The following is a 19,575-nucleotide window of genomic DNA, read 5'->3' as shown; positions in this document are numbered from 1 at the left end:
GGTTGCGTTGACCTTGATGCTTCTCGATAGTTGCTCACTGTCCCAGCATATTTAAAATTGACCTCTGGGTTTTATTGTCTAAGCCTTTCTTACCGCTTTTTACCCTTGGGAAGAAAAAAAAATTATACAAGGCGCCAGTATGTTTAGCGGTTCGAGGACTGCACTTTAATTGCACTAACACGGATGTCTTTTTAAAATTCCCTTCCCCCACTGTAGCTCCTGCTTCGCCTTAGGGCTCATTTGATTCTGTTATGAGGGTTTTTTTTTTTTGGAGGGGGGGTTTTAATAGCAGTAATTTAAAATAACTTTTAAAAGAAGACACCAAAATGTAATGCTTTTAGTGGTTTTCAGTTTTCTGCCTAATTTAAAGGGATGGGTGGGGAGCGTCGGTTAAATGTAAGTAAGAAATATGTGTTCATAGATTTGTTTTCATAGTCACAGAGAAGTAATAGTGTTTTAAAATTCAGCCTCAAGTAATTCGAGCTTCAGTGTGGGAGTGGGGTGTCAGGAACCCGGTGTTTCAGTTTTTGTTTCTAGTGACTTTTACTTAGGGAGTTTCAGGTTGGAAACTTACGCATGTTATTTATTACAGAATTGGTGTCGTGTAAGCTTGTTTCGTTCTATTAGAATGTGTGATTTCTTTGAAAGACTGTTTTGCTGACTCTCCAGTTTAAGGGGTTAGTATTAGTGAATACAAAAGTGTCTTTAATATTTATTGAAAAACCAAAATCTAAGCCAAAAAGTAAGTGCCTTTTGGTGTATTCATAACTTTGACAGGCAACATCAGGAACCTGAGAGAATGTATCTAAAAATTGCTGGGGGAGGGGAGTTCGATATAAAAAGAGCAACAAAGTAGCAGTGTTAGTCGGAGTCTTTAAGGTGTTTACTGTGTAATCAGACAGATAATACTTATGTCCAAAAGATATTCAGATAGTATGTAGATGTATGCAAAACTATAACCTAGATATAAAACTTTTCAAAGTGTTTTTGCATTCATTTTCATTTGAATCTCTTGAGCTGATTTTAAGAATGAATATCACATTCGTACTAATCCCTTCTCAACATAAATTAATAGCTTAGTGATACATCAGTTCCTCATAAACTCACATTGAAATTCTTATTAAAGGCCCTGAGCCCTCTCACCAGAAAACTCTACTTAAGTAGACTTGTCATTTGATTTCATAGCCTTCACAAATCTAAAGATCATCCCTGTTCTAAATTGTATCTAGGCTGTCTCCCACGTTCTGGATTTTAGGCCTTTTTTTGTTGTTGTTTTTGTTTTTTTCGAGACGGAGTCTCACTCTGTCGCCCAGGCTGGAGTGCAGTGGCGCGATCTCGGCTCACTGCAACCTCCGCCTCCCAGGTTCAAGCAATTCTCCTGCCTCAGCCTCCCGAGTAGCTGGGATCACAGGCAAGCACCACCATGCCCAGCTAATTTTTGTATTTTTAGTAGAGATGGGGGTTTCACTATGTTGGTCAGGCTGGTCTCGAACTCCTGACCTCGTGATCCACCCTCCTCGGCCTCCCAAAGTGCTGGGATTACAGGCGTGAGCCACCATGCCCGGCGATTTTAGGCCTTTTATATTGCACCTATGTGCTTTGTTGTACCTCACCATGGTAATCTCGGGTTCTATATTCCTCGGTTCTAGGGTTGTTGTGAAGATTAAGTAACATTTTTCTACACTGCAAATGTTTGGTGTGCATCTTATTATATGGGATGTAATGTCCTGATGACTGAATAAACTGACAATATCTGTTTAAATTGTAAGGATCTTTTTTCGATACCAGCTAGTATCACTGATTTTTCTATTTCTTGTTGATTTCTTTATGGATTTGTTTTCTTCTTGGTTCCTCCTTCCTTTAATTTCCTGAGATGTTCTTTCTCATTCCTTTCGTGTTCTGAGAACTTGGGTAGATCTGGTTTCCTTTTCCTCAGCTGGAGTTCTTTCTCCTTTCTGGATACCTAGTTCCTTTCCTCCAACTCTGTCTGAAGTCTTCTACCATTTTCTCCCTGAAGCCCTTTGTTTATTCCTCTTCCCTAATTTTACAGCTCTAGGTAGCCTTTCTGAGTTCCTTTGATTAGTGATGCCAGCTCAATCATTTCATTTCTCCTCTCTGGGCTCTTGAAACTGGCACTACTTGTCCGGGCGTGGTGGCTCACGCCTGTCATCCCAGCACTTTGAGAGGTCCAGGTGGGTGGATCACAAGGTCAGGAGTTTGAGACCAGCCTGGCCAATATGGTGAAACCCCGTCTCTACTAAAAAAAAATACAAAAAAAAAAAAATTAGCCGGGCGTGGTGGTGCGTGCCTGTTATCCCAGCTACTTGGGAGGCTGAGGCGGAAGAATTGCTTGAACCCGGGAGGCAGAGGTTGCAGTAAGCCAAGATCGTGCCACTGCACTCCAGCCTGTGTGACAGAGCGAGACTCCATCTCAAAAAAAAAAAAAAAGAAAAGAAAAAAAGAAACTGGCACTGCTTCCCCTTAGTCATGTAATAACAGGGCCAACATCCTCATCTATAATGGAAGCAGCACGTAGTCTTCAGAAACCACTGGCACATCCATCTAGAAGAGGCAGAGGATTTAGTATTGGAAAGGCCCTTAAAGATCATTTGCCTACCCTCCTCATCTTGTCATCTTCACATCAGAGTGACCTCACTGTGTATTTTGAACTGAAGCTACAGCACATCTGGCTGTTTTAATATTTTTTAAACCCATTAGGTCTAGAAATTAAATGAGCGCCTAGCAGGTAGTTAGCTGTGTCTTGACCTTGCCATAAGTACATTTTATTTTTTGGGTTTTTGTTTTTTTTTTTTTTTGAGATGGAGTCTTGCTCTGTCGTCCAGGCTGGAGTGCAGTGGTGCGATCTCAGCTCACTGCAGCCTCCACCTCCTGGGTTCAAGTGATTCTCCTGCCTCAGCCTCCCAAGTACCTGGGATTACAGGTGCCTGCCACCACACCTGGCTAATTTTTGTAATTTTAGTAGAGATGGGGTTTCACCATGTTGCCCAGGCTGGTCTCGAACTCCTGACCTCAGGTGATCTTCCTGCCTTGGCCTCCCAAAGTGCTGGGATTACAGACATGAGTCACCATGCCTGGCTGCCATAATTACATTTTGCACCTCTCCTTCCCCAGTTCAACCTCGACCCTGGGTCACAATGGTCAGAACTTTATTTCTCAGTGTGGACGCAGTCATGGGATTCTGTTTCAAAGACAATGGATATTGTTTATGCTGGCTCTCTTTTTTTTTTTGTTGAGATGGAGTCTTGCTCTGTAGCCTAGGCTGGATTGCAGTGGCCTTATCTCGGCTCACTGCAACCTCTGCCTCCTGGGTTCTAGCAATTCTCCTGCCTCAGTCTCCCGAGTAGGATTACAGGTGCACGTCGTGATGCCCGGCTAATTTTTTGTATTTTAGAAGAAACGGGGTTTCACTGTGTTGCCCAGGCTGGTCTTGAACTCCTGAGCTCAGGCAATCCACCCACCTCGGCCTCCCAAAGTGCTAGGATTACAGGCGTGAGCCACCGCTCTTGGCCCTGGCTCTTTTTATTTTATTTATTATTATTATTTTTTGAGATGGAGTTTCACTCTTGTTGCCCAGGCTGAAGTGCAATGGTGCGATCCCAGCTCATCACAACCTCTGCTTCCCGGGTACAAGCAATTCTCCTGCCTCAGCCTCCCCAGTGGCTGGGATTACAAGCATGCACCACCACGCCCAGCTAATTTTGTATTTTTAGTAGAGACGGGGGTTTCTCCACATTGGTCAGGCTACTCTCGAACTACTGACCTCAGGTGATCTGCCTGCCTCATCCTCCCAAAGTGTGGGGTTGCAGGTGTGAGCCACCGTGCCCGGCAGCTCTGTCTTTTTAAATTGCTTCAAAGTTCTTTGAAGAATCCTGAGTCTTCCTCATAGTGTCTTTAAAAGTTCTGTTTTGGAGGATTGCTTGAGGCTAGGAGTTTCAGACCAGCCTGGTCAACATAGCAAGACCCCACCTCTACAAAAAATTAAAAAATTAGCTGAGCATGGTGGCTTGTGTCTCTAGTCCCAGCTACGTGGGAGGCTGAGGTAGGAGGACCACTTAAGCTCAAGAGTTTGAGGTTGCAGTTAGCTATGATCACGCCACTGTACTCCAGCCTGGGTGACAGAGAAGACCATGTCTCTAAAAACACACACACACACACACACAAATGAAAAAATAGTTTTGTTGATTTTTTTTTCTTCAAAGAATTTGAAGTAGCATATAGCTGCATCTTGAGCTTGATACAATGAAATGATAATCAGGATCCCCAGCAGAAAAATCTGTTGCTGAAAATTTGCCTTCCTTTTGTATACTACACCAACTCAAAGATTCTTCAATTCTTTCTCTTCTGCTCTGTTCTCTCAACCTCCAAGGGAAAGTAGGTATGTTCTGCTACCCAGGCAGTAAGAAATCTGCTGAGCTGCTGTGCTGTGGAATGAATTGTGTCCCCCACACCCCCAACAGCCCCACCCCAAATTCATATGGTGAAGCCATAACCCCCAGTGTATTGATATTTGGAGATGGGTCCTTCAGGAAATCATTAGGTTTAGATGAGCTCATGAAGACGGGACCCTCATGATAGGATTAGTGCCATTTTAAGAAAAGACATCAGGCCAGGTGTGGTGGCTCATACTTGTAATCCCAGCACTTTGGGAGGCTGAGGCAGGCAGATCCTGAGGTCAGGAGTTCGAAACCAGCCTGGCCAACATGATGAAACCCCGTCTCTACTAAAAATACACAAATTAGCTGGGCACGGTGGTGGGTGCCTGTAACCCCAGCTACATGGGAGGCTGAGGCAGGAGAATCACTGGAACCCAGGAGGCAGAGGTTGCAGTGAGCCAAGATCGTGCCTTTGCACTCCAGCCTGGGCGACAGAGCAAGACTGTCTTGGGGGAAATAAAAAAAAAAAAAGACATCAGAGAGCTTTCTCTCTCTCTTTGCCATGTGAGGACACAGTGAGAAGGTAGCTATCTATAAGCCAGGAAGAGAGCCTTCACTAGATACTGGCCCAACTGGCACCTGATCCAGAACTGTGAGAAAATAAATTTCTGTTGTTTAAACCACCCAGTTTGTGGTACTTTGTTATGAAGCCTGAGCTGACTAAAACATGCTAGGTTTATTACATTTCCTCCTTTTAACTTTCAGGTTCTTCACAATTTTTGTTTTACCTTGCCTCTGAACTGTCTGTGATTTCTACAACCCATTGGCTCCTTTCTAAGTCACTAATGGCTATATATCTCTTTCCCAAAATTCAACACCTATAATCTCCTTTGAAACTCAAAAAATCCTGAGAAGGTTCAGGAAAATTATGACTTATCCTAGATCACATAGAAAGTCATGAAAAATAGGACTAGAACCAAGGTCTTTTGCTATTTTTCCACTAAATTAGGCAGTAATAATTTTTCTTTTCTTTCTTTTTTTTTTTTTGAGACAGAGTCTCGTTCTGTCGCCCAGGCTAGAGTGCAGTGGCGCAATCTCGGCTCACTGCAACCTCTGCCTCCTGGCTTCACGCCATTCTCCTGCCTCAGCCTCCCGAGTAGCTGGGACTGCAGGCACCCGCCACCATGCCCGGCTAATTTTTTATGTTTTTAGTAGAGACGGGGTTTCACCGTGTTAGCCAGGATGGTCTTGTTCTCCTGACCTTGTGATCCACCTGCCTCGGCCTCCCAAAATGTTGGGATTACAGGCGTGAGCCACTGCGCCTGGCCTTTTTTTCTTATTAATGTAATATAAATAGGTTATATATGTTTTAATAGAGACAGAATCTTGCTCTGTTGCCCTGGTTAGTCTCAAACTCCAGGGTTCAAACAGTCCTCCTACCTCGGCCTCTCAAAATGCTAGGATTACAGGTGTGAGCCACTGTACCCAGCTAATAATTTTTTTCTGAATCAAAAATAGGGTATAAGACTGATAGGATAAATTTGTGAACTTTATTTATAAGAAAAGGCTTAAAAATAGGAAAAGTTGGCCAGGCATGGTGGCTCATGCCTGTAATACCAGCACTTCGGGAGGCTGAGGCAGGAGGATTGCTTGAGGCCAGAAGTTTGAGGCCAGGCTGCGCAGTATAATAGTAAGACCCCATCTTTAAAAAAACTTTATAAATTAGCCGGGTACAGTGGATCATGCCTGTAGTCCCAGCTGCTCAGGAGGGTGAGGTGAGTCACCCAGGAGTTGAAGGCAGCAGTGAGCTGCAACCATGCCTCTGTTCTGTAGCCTGGGTGATAGAGTGAGATCCTGTAGATAGATAGATAGATAGATAGATAGATAGATAGATAGATAGATATGCTTATTATATATTTGATCAGTTGTTTAAAATCACCTGGAATTTGGTCCGTTTATGAAAATCCAAACCATAAAGTCTCCAAGTATAGGCCCTTCCCTGAAGATAGTAAAAATTTTTTTTAAGTTGATTGTTTTTAGGCCAGAATTTGCCAAGCTTTACCATGCCCTATGGTCTTAAATCAGTTCTGACTTAAGCATTTATATTACTTGCCTGGCCTTGTAGGCATTTGAGTTTGTGAATTCTAATGTAAATCATAAATGGCTGGGCATGATGGCTCACGCCTATAATTGCAGCCCTTTGGGAGGCTGAGGCAGGCAGATCACGCGGTCAAGAGATCGAGACCATCCTGGCCAACATGGTGAAACCCCATCTCTACTAAAAATACAAAAAAATGGGCCAGGGGGGCACCTGCTCTTGTCCCAGCAACTCGGGAGGCTGAGGCAGGAGAATGGCGTGAACCTGGGAGGCAGAGCTTGCAGTGAGCCTAGATCACGCCACTGCACTCTAGCCTGGGCGACAGAGTGAGACTCTAAATGATCAAAGGAATAGGCAACATTAAGATATATTTAAACATTAAAATTGTTCTTTTTTTTTTTTTGAGATGGAGTCTCGCTCTGTCGCCCAGGCTGGAGTGCAGTGACGCCATCTCAGCTCACTGCAAGCTCCGCCTCCCAGGTTCACGCCATTCTCCTGCCTCAGCCTCCTGAGTAGCTGGGACTACAGGCGTCCACCACATTGCCTGGCTAATTTTTTTGTATTTTTAGTAGAGACGGGGTTTCACCGTGTTAGCCAGGATGGTCTCGACCTCCTGACCTCGTGATCCACCCACCTCAGCCTCCCAAAGTGCTGGGATTACAGGCGTGAGCCACCGCGCCCGGCCTTTTTTTTTTTTTTTTTATAATTGAGACGGAGTCTCACTCTGTCGCCTAGGCTGGAGCGCAGTGGCTCGATCTCAGCTCACTGCAACTTCCACCTCCTGGGTTCAAGCGATTCTCAGGCCTCAGCCTCCCGAGTAGCTGGGATTATAGGCGCCTGCCACCATGCCTGGCTAATTTTTGTATTTTTAGTAGAGACGGGGTTTCGCCATGTTGTACAGGCTGGAAACATTAAAATTCTTTAATTTGAAAAGAAAATGATAGGGAATATGATTGAAGTCAGTTGATCTGGACAAAGTAAATTAAAATTGTTCATGAGATCCCAGAATACCATAACAGGCACCTCATAAAGTCAGAGAAAAAGGAAGTAGAACTTCACAGTATGGGCTAGTAAACTTGCTTCCTTTGTGTGTAAGGATCAAATAAGATGCTGAATATAAAGATTCTGTTGTGAGCTTGATTTGATGGCCCTGGAGGACACTCGATTCCAGGACCAGTCTGAAGGAATTGGCCTGTAAAAGGAAGATTGGGGGTGAGCAGTAAGGAGCATTTGTCATAGGGAAAGGAGTTCCATGAGCTCTACAGTCCTAGAATTGGGAGTATTTAGAAGAGTATAAGGAAAGGATTTAGGGCCGGGCGTGGTGGCTCACGCCTGTAATCCCAGCACTTTGGGAGGCCGAGGCGGGCGGATCACGAGGTCAGGAGATCGAGACCATCCTGGCTAACACAGTGAAACTCCGTCTCTATTAAAAATACAAAAAATTAGCCGGGCGCAGTGGCGGCCGCCTGTAGTCCCAGCTACTCGGGAGGCTGAGGCAGGAGAATGGCGTGAATCCCAGAGGCGGAGCTTGCAGTGAGCAGAGATCGCACCACTGCACTCCAGCCTGGGCGACAGAGTGAGACTCTGTCTCAAAAAAAAAAAGAAAGGATTTAGGATGTGGGAGGAACTGATTGGTTATTAGAGGAACTTGAGAAGCGGTAGGAAACCCATGCCAGTATTGTAGAAGGGAAGGAGTTAACAGCGAATGCAGAGAAATATGTGATCATTATTAAAACTGGAGTGTGATGGTTGGGCACTGAGAATGAGGTGCTTGGGGATCTAGCTGTGTGAAGGGACTTGAAGTGACAGCAGATTTCAAAGACTACTGATCTCGGTTTTAGAGAGCCCAGTTCTAGTCCTGAGACTGACCTCATCCTTTTGGTCATTTTGGATCTGTTTCATATATAAGATGAAGAGACTAGATTATGTTATTTCTAAATCCCTTCTACCTCTTAAATGATTTTTGTCAATTGATATGGGGTCTGGCTATGTTGCCCAGGCTCATCTCAAACTCCTGGCCTCAAGCGATCTTCCCACCTCAGCTTCCCAATGTGCTGGGATTCCAGGTATGAGCCACCATGCCCACCCCCTTTTAGCTCTTGATACTAAACTTTTTACTAAAAGAATTTTTTTTAAGGTTTTAATGAAGCCATAGAAGACCAGACCACAGTTTATTACAAAGGAAAATTCAGACATTCTGGAGCATGTCTCTAACTTGGAGGGTGAAAAGGAAGGATCTTTGTCAAATGATCTAATACTAGTATGAGTGGATCACCTAATTTGGCACTTGTAATGTTCAAACAGACCCTGACCTTTTTTTTTTTTTTTTTTTTTTGAGACGGAGTCTGACTCTGTCAGACTGGAGTGCAGTGGCGTGATCTCAGCTCACTGCAAGCTCCGCCTCCCAGATTCACGCCATTCTCCTGCCTCAGCCTCCAGAGTAAGTGGGTCTACAGGCGCCCACCACCACACCTGGCTAATTTTTTTGTATTTTTAGTAGGGACGGGGTTTCACCATGTTAGCCAGGATGGTCTTGATCTCCTGACCTCGTGATCTGCCCACCTCGGCCTCCCAAAGTGCTGGGATTACAGGCATGAGCCACCACGCCCAGTCCAGACCCTGACTTTCAAGCCCATTTTCTGTATGTTTCCCAACTTAATTGACACAGCACTGTGGTTTCCACTGTTCTGTTCTTTTATAACCTTGTTACTCAAGGTGGGGTCCATTGACCATCAGCATCACCTAGGAGCTTATTAGAAATGCAGAATATCAGGCCAAGCGTGGTGGCTGATAACTGTAATCCCAGCACTTTGAGAGGCTGAGGTGGGAGGATCACTTGAGGCCAGGAGTTTGAGACCAGCCTGAGTACCATGGCAAGATCTTGTCTCCTATAAGCACTGCTCCTATAGCAGTGGTTCTCAAACTTTAACTGATGTCAGAATCTCCAGAAGGGCTTGTTAAAACATAAATTGGTCAGAACTTCTGATTCAGTAGGTCTGGAATGGGGCCCAAGAATTTGCTTTTTTCTTTTCTTCTTTTTTTTTTTTTTTTTTTTTTTTTTTTTGAGACAGGGTGTCCTTCTGTCACCTAGGCCCTAGGCTGGAATGCAGTGGCATGGTCATGGCTCCCTGCAGCTTCAACCTCCAAGCCTCAAGCAATCCTTTCACCTCAGCCTCTGGAGTAGCTGAGACTATAGGTACACGCCTGTACACCAAGCTAATTTTTTATTTTTTTGTAGAAACGAGATCTCTCCATATTGCCCAGACTGGTCTAGAACTCCTGGCCTCAAGTGGCCCTCCAGCACTGGCCTCCCAAAGCGCTGGGATTGCAGGCATGAGCCACCGTGCCCTTCCAAATTTGCTTTTTTTTTTTTTGAGACAGAGTCTCGTTCTGTCACCCAGGCTGGAATGCAGTGGTGCGATCTTGGCTCACTACAACCTCTGCCTCCCGGGTTCAAGCGATTCTCCTGCCTCAGGCTTCCGAGTAGCTGGGACTATAGGCACGTGCCACCACGCTTGGCTGATTTTTTTATTTTTAGTAGAAACGGGGTTTCACCTTCTTAGCCAGGATGGTTTCGATCTCCTGACCTCGTGATCCTCCTGCCTAGGCCTCCCAAAGTGCTGGGATTACAGGTGTGGGCCACCATGCCCGGCCCCGAATTTGCGTTTTTTTTGTTGTTGTTTTTGTTTTGTTTTCGTTTCTGTTTTTTGAGACCGAGTTTCACTCTTGTTGCCCAGGCTGGAGTGCAATGGCTCGATCTTGGCTCACCGCAACCTCTGCCTCCTGGGTTCAAGTGATTCTCCGGCCTCAGCCTCCCGAGTAGCTGGGATTACAGGTGTGGGCCACCATGCCCAGCTAATTTTTTATTTTTAGTAGAGACAGGGTTTCTCCATGTTGGTCAGGCTGGTCTCAAACACCCGACCTCAGTTGATCCGCCCACCTAGGCCTCCCAAAGTGCCAGCCACCATGCCTGGCCAATTTGCGTTTTTAATAACTTAAAAACTATTAAAGTTTTTGCTAGGAAGTCTTTGGCTTTAATTACTTCCTGCTCATGATTATCAGTTTCAAGTTTGCTTTTAATCTCCCCAGTAAGACTATACTTTCTTGTTTTGTGTTATTTTTTCAACATCCTTATTGACGTATAATTTGCATACCAAACAATTCACCCATTTAAAATGTATAAGCCGATAGTATTTAGTATATTCACAGATACGTGCAACTATCACCACAGCCAATTTTATAACATTTTCATCATCAGAAAAAGAAAGTAGGTAGAGCACTGAGGAATTTTAGGGCAGTGAAGCTATGTAGTACAATGCTGTAATGATGGATATGTGTCATTGTACACTTATCAAAACCCATAGGATGTACACCAAGAATGAACCCTAATGTAAACTATGAGCTTTGGATGATGACGATGTGTCAATGGAGGTTCATCAGTTGTAACAAATGTACCACTCTGCTGTGGGATATTGATACTGGGAGAGGCTACACATGTGTAGGATAAGAGGCTATGTCAAAACTCTGTATTCTCTGCTTTATTTTGCTGTAAAACTAAAACTGCTTTAAAATAAAGTCTTTTAAGAAAGAAAGAAGTCCGGGCATGGTGGCTCACGCCTGTAATCCCAGCACTTTGGGAGGCTGAGACGGGCGGATCGTCTGAGGTCAGGAGTTTGAGACCAGCCTGGCCAACATGGTGAAACCCTGTCTCTACTAAAAATACAAAAATTAGCCAGGCGTGGTGGTGGGTGCTTGTAATCCCAGCAACTCAGGAGGCTGAGGCAGGACAATTGCTTGAACTCGGGAGGCGGAGATTGCAGTGAGCCGAGATCACGCCATTGCACTCCAGCCTGGGCTTTAGAGTGAGACTCTGTCTCAAAAAAAAAGAAAAAAAGAGAGAAAGAAACTCCATGTCCTTTAGCTGTACCCCTTATCTCCACATCCCACCAGGACCCAAGTAACCACTAATCTTCCAACCATTAATCTTTTGTATTTCTTTTACATTGCATAAGTACTTGGCAAAGTGCTAGATATATTTATTAAGAGATTAATATGTATAAACAGTTGCATCATCTAACTTAATCCTTATCATAACTGTGAGGTCTGAGTGTTTATTGTTATCTCAAAGCTGAGGATATTGAAACTTAAGATAGGTTAAAAAACTTGTAACATAACCAGTAAATGATGAAACTAGCATTGTATCCTTGTACTATCATTTAAAAACTCATGCTCTTAACCTTTCTACCATATCTATTGTAGTAAACTGAATTTTCGAAGCTATGCAATATCTATGAGAAATTTTACTAAGATATTTAAAATGTCATGGAAAGGCTTAACTTGTTTGGGCATGCTGGCTCCCTCACAAAATTTGCTGCATGTTCTTTTCTTTTAATAGCCTCTTTATGTATCTCTCCACATTTTTCCTCAAGCTCATATAAATGCACAGATACATTGTAGGGGCTTCTTGAGGGGTCATTATATAAAAATAGGATTATACTATAAATATCACTCTAAAACTCACTATGGACATCTTCTGTTTCTAGAAATAGATCTAGCTCTTTGTTTTGAGTAGCTGTGTACTGTGCATATCATAATGTAACAGTTACCTTATTGGTGGAAGTTGGGTTTTTTTGCTATTACATACAATATTACAGTTAATATCCTTATACATTTATTTTTGTGCTTTTGCATACTATATCTGTAGATATGAATCACAAGATTCTATGTATTACAATTTTTGATAGATGCTGCTCATTTTTTATTAAAAAGGTTATACCACTTGAGCAGCAGCATGCACAGTTAAGACCCAGATCCTGATCTGGGTATCTTTCCTCTCCACAAGGAGCTTAATGGAATGGCTGGATCTGGATGTATAGCAGATAAAGGACAAGGTCAGCCTAGGATACCTGTGTCAAAAAAACAAGAAGTCCTCAAAGACTTGTTTTTTGTTTTTTTGGGTTGTTTTTTTTTTTTTCAGATGGAGTCTTGCTCTGTTGCACAGGCTGGAGTGCAGTGGCACGATCTCGGCTCACTGCAACCTCCACTACCCAGGTTCAAGCAATTTTCCTGCCTCAGCCTCCTGAGTAGCTAGGATTACAGGCGCCCACTACCACACCCAACTAATTCTTGTATTTTTAGTACAGACAGGGTTTCACCATGTTGATCAGGATGGTCTCAAACTCCTGACCTCAGGTGGTCTACCCGCCTCGGCCTCCCGAGGTGCTGGAATGACAAGTGTGAGCCACTGCGCCCGGCCTAATTTTTGTATTTTTAGTAGAGACGGGGTTTTGCCATATCGGCCATGCTGATCTCGAACTCCTGACCTCAGGAGATCCACCCGCCTCAGCCTCCCAAAGTGCTGGGATTAAAGGCATGAGTCTTGCATAAAGGATACAAAGAGCCAGCTATAAGAGGTTCTAAATGCCCAAATTTGGAACAATTTGAATATCAGACAAACCATCGTAATTATACCACACTGAAATTTTTAAAAAATTAATGCATCTCTACTGATACTAAAAGATGGTAGGGGAGAGAGTAAAGCTCTTTTAAAAAGAAGGATATGGCTGGGTGCAGTGGCTCACACCTGTTATCCCAGTACTTTGGGAGGCTGAGGTGGGTGGATCACCTGAGGTCAGGAGTTCCACACCAGCCTGGCCAGCGTGACAAAACCCCGTCTCTACTAAAATACAAAAAATTAGCTGTGCGTGGTGGCAGGCACCTATAATCCCAGCTACTCAGGAGGCTGAAGCAGGAGAATTGCTTGACCCCGGAGGCGGAGGTTGCAGTGAGCCAAGATCATGCCATTCATTGCACTCCAGCCTGGGCAACAAGAGCGAAACTCCGTCTCAAACAAAAAAACAAACAAAAGAAAAAAACAAAGGATACTAGCCAGTAAGGGTAGAAGGAATGACAATATTTTAAAAATTCACCATTTTGTAATCCCTAGTATGATATGGGAAATTAAATTTAGTTAAGGATCATCATGGAGGCTAATATCCTGGTGAGAAGAAGCTGTTGGGCTGTTCACATGGTGCCATAGATTACTTACTCATCAAACATAAAGGGAAAAACATGTCTTTACACTAGAGAAATCCTGCGGTTACCACCTTAACCAGATCGTCAAAGTCAGCATCACTAGTGCAGGAAATCATGATGTTAATGTGTTATTTTGTTGGATGCAGTAAGAAGTACCCAATTCACTTATGAAGCATTCTTTCCAAAAATGTTTAAATTAAATCTAAGCAACCTTCATGTTTATCTGCAGGATTATCTTCTTTAGCTAGAACTGTAAATGATTTTACTATATGACCTTAGGTAGGTTACGTTAGTGACTTGTCTGAGTCTCAGAGCCCTTGTTTGTAAAAACAGTGACATTGAATCAGAAAAAATGCATGAAAGTAACCTAGCATGTAGTTTGTTATATCATAAGAATGTAAAATACTAGTTCATCTCTGCTATCAGAATCCATTCATAGCCACCAAGTATATAGCTGAATGAAAACTACATTTCTCTTTTTCACATCTTATTTCCTTATCTAATTCTATGTAATCTGATGGCATGTTTTATGAATTCCCTATACTTGCTTAGATCCATAAGCTGTGCAGCCCCAAGTATGGCATAAACCCTCTAATCCAAAATGTTCAAGGGACATTTTAGGTAACAGAGCATGGGATTAGAACATTTCTATACTCATTAGAAACTTACGTTGACTTGTATGAAACTACCAGTTTTCTAGATTAAAATTGGTCAAATATCAGCAATGTCATGTGATTCAATCTAATAATGTGCTTTGGTGGCAGAAGCTTAGTACATCAACATTTGCCAAGCATTCTTTCTTTTTCCTTCCTTACGGGTTTAGAAAAAGATTTGCTCAGAGGACGAGAGAAGGATTTGTATTGAGCCAAGTTTTAAGGAAATTGTGATGTGAACTCTTAATCTATTGTGATGTGTATTCTAAATATTTTTGGATATTTCTTCATTTTATACTCTCCTCTCCCCCCAGGTACAATAGTTATTCTTTCCAATCACTTCTTACCTCTTGGCTTTTCTTTCCAGGTAGTGGGAAATGAGACAACGCTTTTCTTTTTCTGTACTTTAAATTCTGGATTGGTCTTTTTGAATAGGCAGTTGCAGAATTTTGAAAACATGAGCAAGAATAATTTACTTCAAGTTCCAGCTGGTTCTCTTCCAAAGATAGCACTTAGAAATGATAATGTACTTTTTTTCTTTGTACCCTAGTTCCTAGTAGAATATGGAACGTAAGACAGATTGATGGATTTTGAGTACATGTTGTTTTATAGAATATAAACAATGGCCAGGTGCGGTGGTTCACACCTATAATCCCAGCAGTTTGGGAGGTCAGGAATTCGAGACCAGCCTGACCAACATGGTGAAACCCTGTCTCTACCAAAAATACAAAAATTAGCTGGGCATGGTAACACGCGCCTGTAGTACCAACTACTTGGGAGGCTGAGGCAGGAGAATTGCTTGAACCCAGGAGGTGGAGGTTGCAGTGAGCCAAGATTGTGCTACTGCACTCCAGTCTAGGTGACAGAGCAAGACTCTGTGTCAAAAAGAAAATAATATAAACAATGAAGTAATAATTCATAGGAGATTGGAAAGGAAAGTTTCCAGCTGTCAAGTATTGAAATTACATCATAGCAAGAATTCTCCCTGGGGTACGGCCCTTATAACAAGAGTCATAATTGTTACTCCCTTAAGAAAGTGACCTATCTTCCTTAAAGAAGGTGTGCTGGGCAATTGTGTATAGTTTTAATATTCCTAACCATCCTTTTTATTTCCTCAAACAAGAAGAAACAAATTCATGGAAGACCATCCCTCTCAAGGAAATGTGATCAACCCTGCATATAAATAGCTTTATTAAAATCCTTAGTTGTTGGCAAGCCATAACATTGCAAGTTTGAAAGTTATTGTTTGTCTCCTAGACAGCCGCTCAGGAAGCAATCTTGCATGCGTCTGGAAATGGCACAACCAAGGACTACTGCATGCTTTATAACCCTTATTGGACAGCTCTTCCAAGTACCCTAGAAAATGCAGTAAGTAAATCACAGTTACTATTCATAAACATAAAAATAGTGAAGAAGGAGGCTGGGCACGGTGGCTCATGCCTGTAATCCCAGCACTTTGGGAGGCCAAGGCGGGCGGATCATGAGGTCAGGAGATCAAGACCATCCTGGCTAACACGGTGAAACCCCTTCTCTACTAAAAATACAAAAATTAGCTGGGTGTGGTGGCAGGCGCCTGTAGTCCCAGCTACTCAGGAGGCTGAGGCAGGAGAATTGTGTGAACCCAGGAGGCAGAGCTTGCAGTGAGCTGAGATCATGCCACTGCACTCCAGCCTGGGCAACAGGGTGAGACTTCGTCTCTGAAAAAAAAAAATAGTGAAGAAGGCTGTGTACAATGGCTGATACCTGTAACCCTAGCACTTTGGGATGTCAAGATGGGAGGATCATTTGAGACCAAGTGGTCAAGACCAATCTGGTCAGCATAGTGACACCCTGTCTCTATTTAAAAAGAAAAAAGAAAAAATATTGAAGAAGTGAGAATGACTGATAATTATGTTTTATTGTGTGAACCATTGTCATGTACGGTTGTTAATAAATAATTATTGATTTTTCTCAAGTATTTTTCTCTCTGGGAAAATAGGGAATTTTAAAATACTTAATTCTAAGCCTAAATATTTCTAATTCAAAAGATATTGTCTTAAACCAATATTGATAACCAAAGGCAGTATTTATAACTGAATGCATTTAGGATGAAATAGATTTTTAACATGTTAAAAAGACATTTCTTATTTTCAGACTTCCATTAGTTTGATGAATCTGACTTCCACACCACTATGCAACCTTTCTGATATTCCTCCTGTTGGCATAAAGAGCAAAGCAGTTGTGGTTCCATGGGGAAGCTGCCATTTTCTTGAAAAAGCCAGAATTGCACAGAAAGGAGGTGCTGAAGCAATGTTAGTTGTCAATAACAGTGTCCTAGTAAGTTATAAAAACAATCATATCTTATTTTGAGTTCATGATGTGAAATTTCACAAAAATGGAATTAACGTCTTTGTGTGTGGTTTAGAGGCTGAGTTTTGAATGATCTGATGGCAAGATTCTTTGTAAATAAATAATCAAGATCTAATAGGCATTTACTTGGAAAGTTTTTCAGTTTTTCTATTCCTAGAGCAGACAAGACTTTGTTAGGAACAAATATATATATATGCATATATATAGAGATATATATGTATTACACATATGTAATATGAATATATCATAAATGCTATATATATTATAGCATTTATCAGTTTAAGTTCATGTTAAAAGGATTCAATTTTGAGAACTTAGAGTGTTAAGAAAGAATACCTGAAATTTTGTCTTATAACTTAAAGAAAGACGTAATATTTATATTTAATGGAATAGTATTTTATTCTATAAATATATTAGTAGTAAATAAGTTTTCATAATTTTTTCTTTTTTAGTTTCCTCCCTCAGGTAACAGATCTGAATTTCCTGATGTGAAAATACTGATTGCATTTATAAGCTACAAAGACTTTAGAGATATGAACCAGGTAAATTAGCAATTACATATTAGATAAAGTTTATAAATACTGTATCTCTTTATTTTTAATCACTAATGTTTAATTTTGAGTGTTATATTTGCTCCATTTGCTAACAAGAAGCTATAAGGCCTATCAAGTTTTTGTTTGGAAAGTACTCATCTCTCATTTGGCACCAAGTGTCTCAAAGCCTAAACTTTAGAAAGGATGTTTGTTTTCAGTTCTTTAAAAATCTCTTGTCATGTCATTTATCTTAACTTTAGGTTCCTGAACAAAATATGATTGTGTAGAACACTGTACTTTAAAGATTTTATAAACCAAAGCATATCATCATACTTTTGACTAGAGAATATATCATGTCATCAGACAATAATTCTAGTCTTCTTGACTGTCTGATGTATAATGTCCATTCCAGAGTGAAATGTGGACTATTGCTGTTATGACTATAGTAGAAAGAAAAGTTATTCCTGTGTTTAACTGTTATTTTGCCTTTCAGACTCTAGGAGATAACATTACTGTGAAAATGTATTCTCCATCGTGGCCTAACTTTGATTATACTATGGTGGTTATTTTTGTAATTGCGGTGTTCACTGTGGCATTAGGTGGATACTGGAGTGGACTAGTTGAATTGTAAGTTTAATTAACTTAAGCGTTTTTGTAATAAATGGTTAAAAATTTCTGCAATCATTTTAATTATATAACAACATTTAAAAATTTATCTGCCCTCAGAATATGATGCCAGTAAGCCCAGTCTGCAGGTTTGTCCTCATGTAGATCATTTACATTTTCACCAGAGAGAAAAGAGTCACAGATTTCTCTAACTCTTCCACTGTCAGAGGAACATTGACATCACATCAGAGACCCTTTTAAGTTAAAATGTTTAATTCTGTCTCCCAGGAAAGGTCATGGGAGATATCCTAATATGCCTATTGATTTAGATTGGAAGAAAATAAGCAAGAGAAAGTGGGGAGTTTTTCAGCTCCTCCTGGGCTGGGTCATTACAGTGTGGCCTCATCATTCTGTTTAATGCTTTAGGAATTCTAAGGATGTTAGTAATGTCCATCTTTTTTTTCACTTAGTCAAGATTTATTTCAAGGCTTGAAAACATTCAGGCCAACTAAAATGGTACTACTGTCACTTTTTATAATACATAAATAGGCCAGGCACGGTGGCTCACGCCTGTAATCCCAACACTTTGGGAGGCCAAGGCGGGCAGATCACCTGAGGTCAGGAGTTTGAGACAAGCCTGGCCAACATGGTGAAACCCTGTCTCTACGAAAAATACAAAAATTACCTGGGTGCAGTGGTGCGTGCCTGTAATCCCAGCTACTTGGGAGGCTGAGGCAGGAGAATTGCTTGAACCTGGGAGGTGGAGGTTGCAGTGAGCTGAGATTGTGCCATTGCATTCCAACCTAGGTGACAAGAGTGAGACTATGTCTCCAAAAAAAAAAAAAAAAAAAGTAAATAATTAATATAAAACTTTGAAAAACATAGACACAGTTAAATAACCACTAAACACCACACTATTCAATTCTCAAAAGCAATGGCTATTTAGCATACTGTAAGGGAACAGTAAAATATCAGAGAACTCTTATGCATTTAGAGAACATAATTAGCCGCAAGCTAGTCAGACAAAATAAACATAAATGTTTTTACATTTTCCTTTTTTTTTTTTTTTTTTTTTTTTTGATACAGAGTCTCGCTCTGTTGCCAGGCTGGAGTACAGTGGTGCGATCTTGGCTCACTGAAAACTCCGCCTCTCCAGTTCAAGTGATTCTCCTGCCTCAGCCTCCCAAGTAGCTGGGACTACAGGCACGCACCACCATGCCCAGCTAATTTTTGTATTTTTAGTAGAGATGGGGTTTCACCATGTTGATCAGGATGGTCTTGATCTCTTGACCTTTTGATCTGCCCGCCTTGGCCTCCCAAAGTGTTGGGATTACAGGTGTGAGTCACTGTGCCTGGCCTCCATGTTTGTTTTTAATTTTGCTTTATAAAGTCACGGATAAATTGAGGCATCTCTCAATTTTAGGATTTCTCACATTAAAAATTATATATTTATATATATTTTTTTGAGATGGAGACTTGCTCTGTCATGCAGGCTGGAGTGCAGTGGTATGATCTCAGCTCACTGCAACCTCTGCCTCCCAGATTCAAGCGCTTCCCCTGCCTCAGCCTCTTTAGTAGCTGGGATTACAGGTGCCTGCCACCATGCCTGGCTAGTTTTTGTGCTTTTAGTAGAGATGAGTTTTCACCATGTTGGCCAGACTGGTCTTGAACTCCTGACCTCAGGTGATCTGCCCACCTCGGCCTCCCAAAGTGTTGGGATTACAGGCGTGAGCTACCGTGCCCGGCCTAAAAATTATATTTTCTAGCCTTGGCAACATAGCAAGACCTCATCTCTTCTAAAAATAACAAAATTAGCACACACCTCTAGCCCCAGAGGCTACTCAGGAGGTGGAGGTGAGAGGATTGCTTGAACCCAGGAGTTTCAGGTTATAGGGAGCTGTGATTGT

At 41.8% G+C, this 19,575-nt stretch overlaps 1 protein-coding gene across 4 annotated transcripts in view; it reads left to right on the top strand.

Annotated features, from left to right (window-relative positions):
* SPPL2A (signal peptide peptidase like 2A) overlaps positions 1-19,575 on the top strand; it is a 63,441-nt gene that overhangs the window by 523 nt on the left and 43,343 nt on the right. For all 4 annotated transcript variants that reach the window (NM_001438112.1, NM_032802.4, XM_017022680.2 and 1 more), the window contains exons 2-5: positions 15,438-15,548; positions 16,314-16,496; positions 16,982-17,071; positions 17,556-17,689. In NM_001438112.1, coding sequence (NP_001425041.1) covers positions 15,438-15,548; positions 16,314-16,496; positions 16,982-17,071; positions 17,556-17,689 — 518 coding nt within the window. The remainder of the gene's footprint in view (positions 1-15,437; positions 15,549-16,313; positions 16,497-16,981; positions 17,072-17,555; positions 17,690-19,575) is intronic.

Source organism: Homo sapiens, chromosome 15 (assembly GCF_000001405.40).
Source record: "Homo sapiens chromosome 15, GRCh38.p14 Primary Assembly".
Lineage (NCBI taxonomy): Eukaryota > Metazoa > Chordata > Mammalia > Primates > Hominidae > Homo > Homo sapiens.
This window is presented reverse-complemented; position numbering and strand designations above follow the sequence as displayed.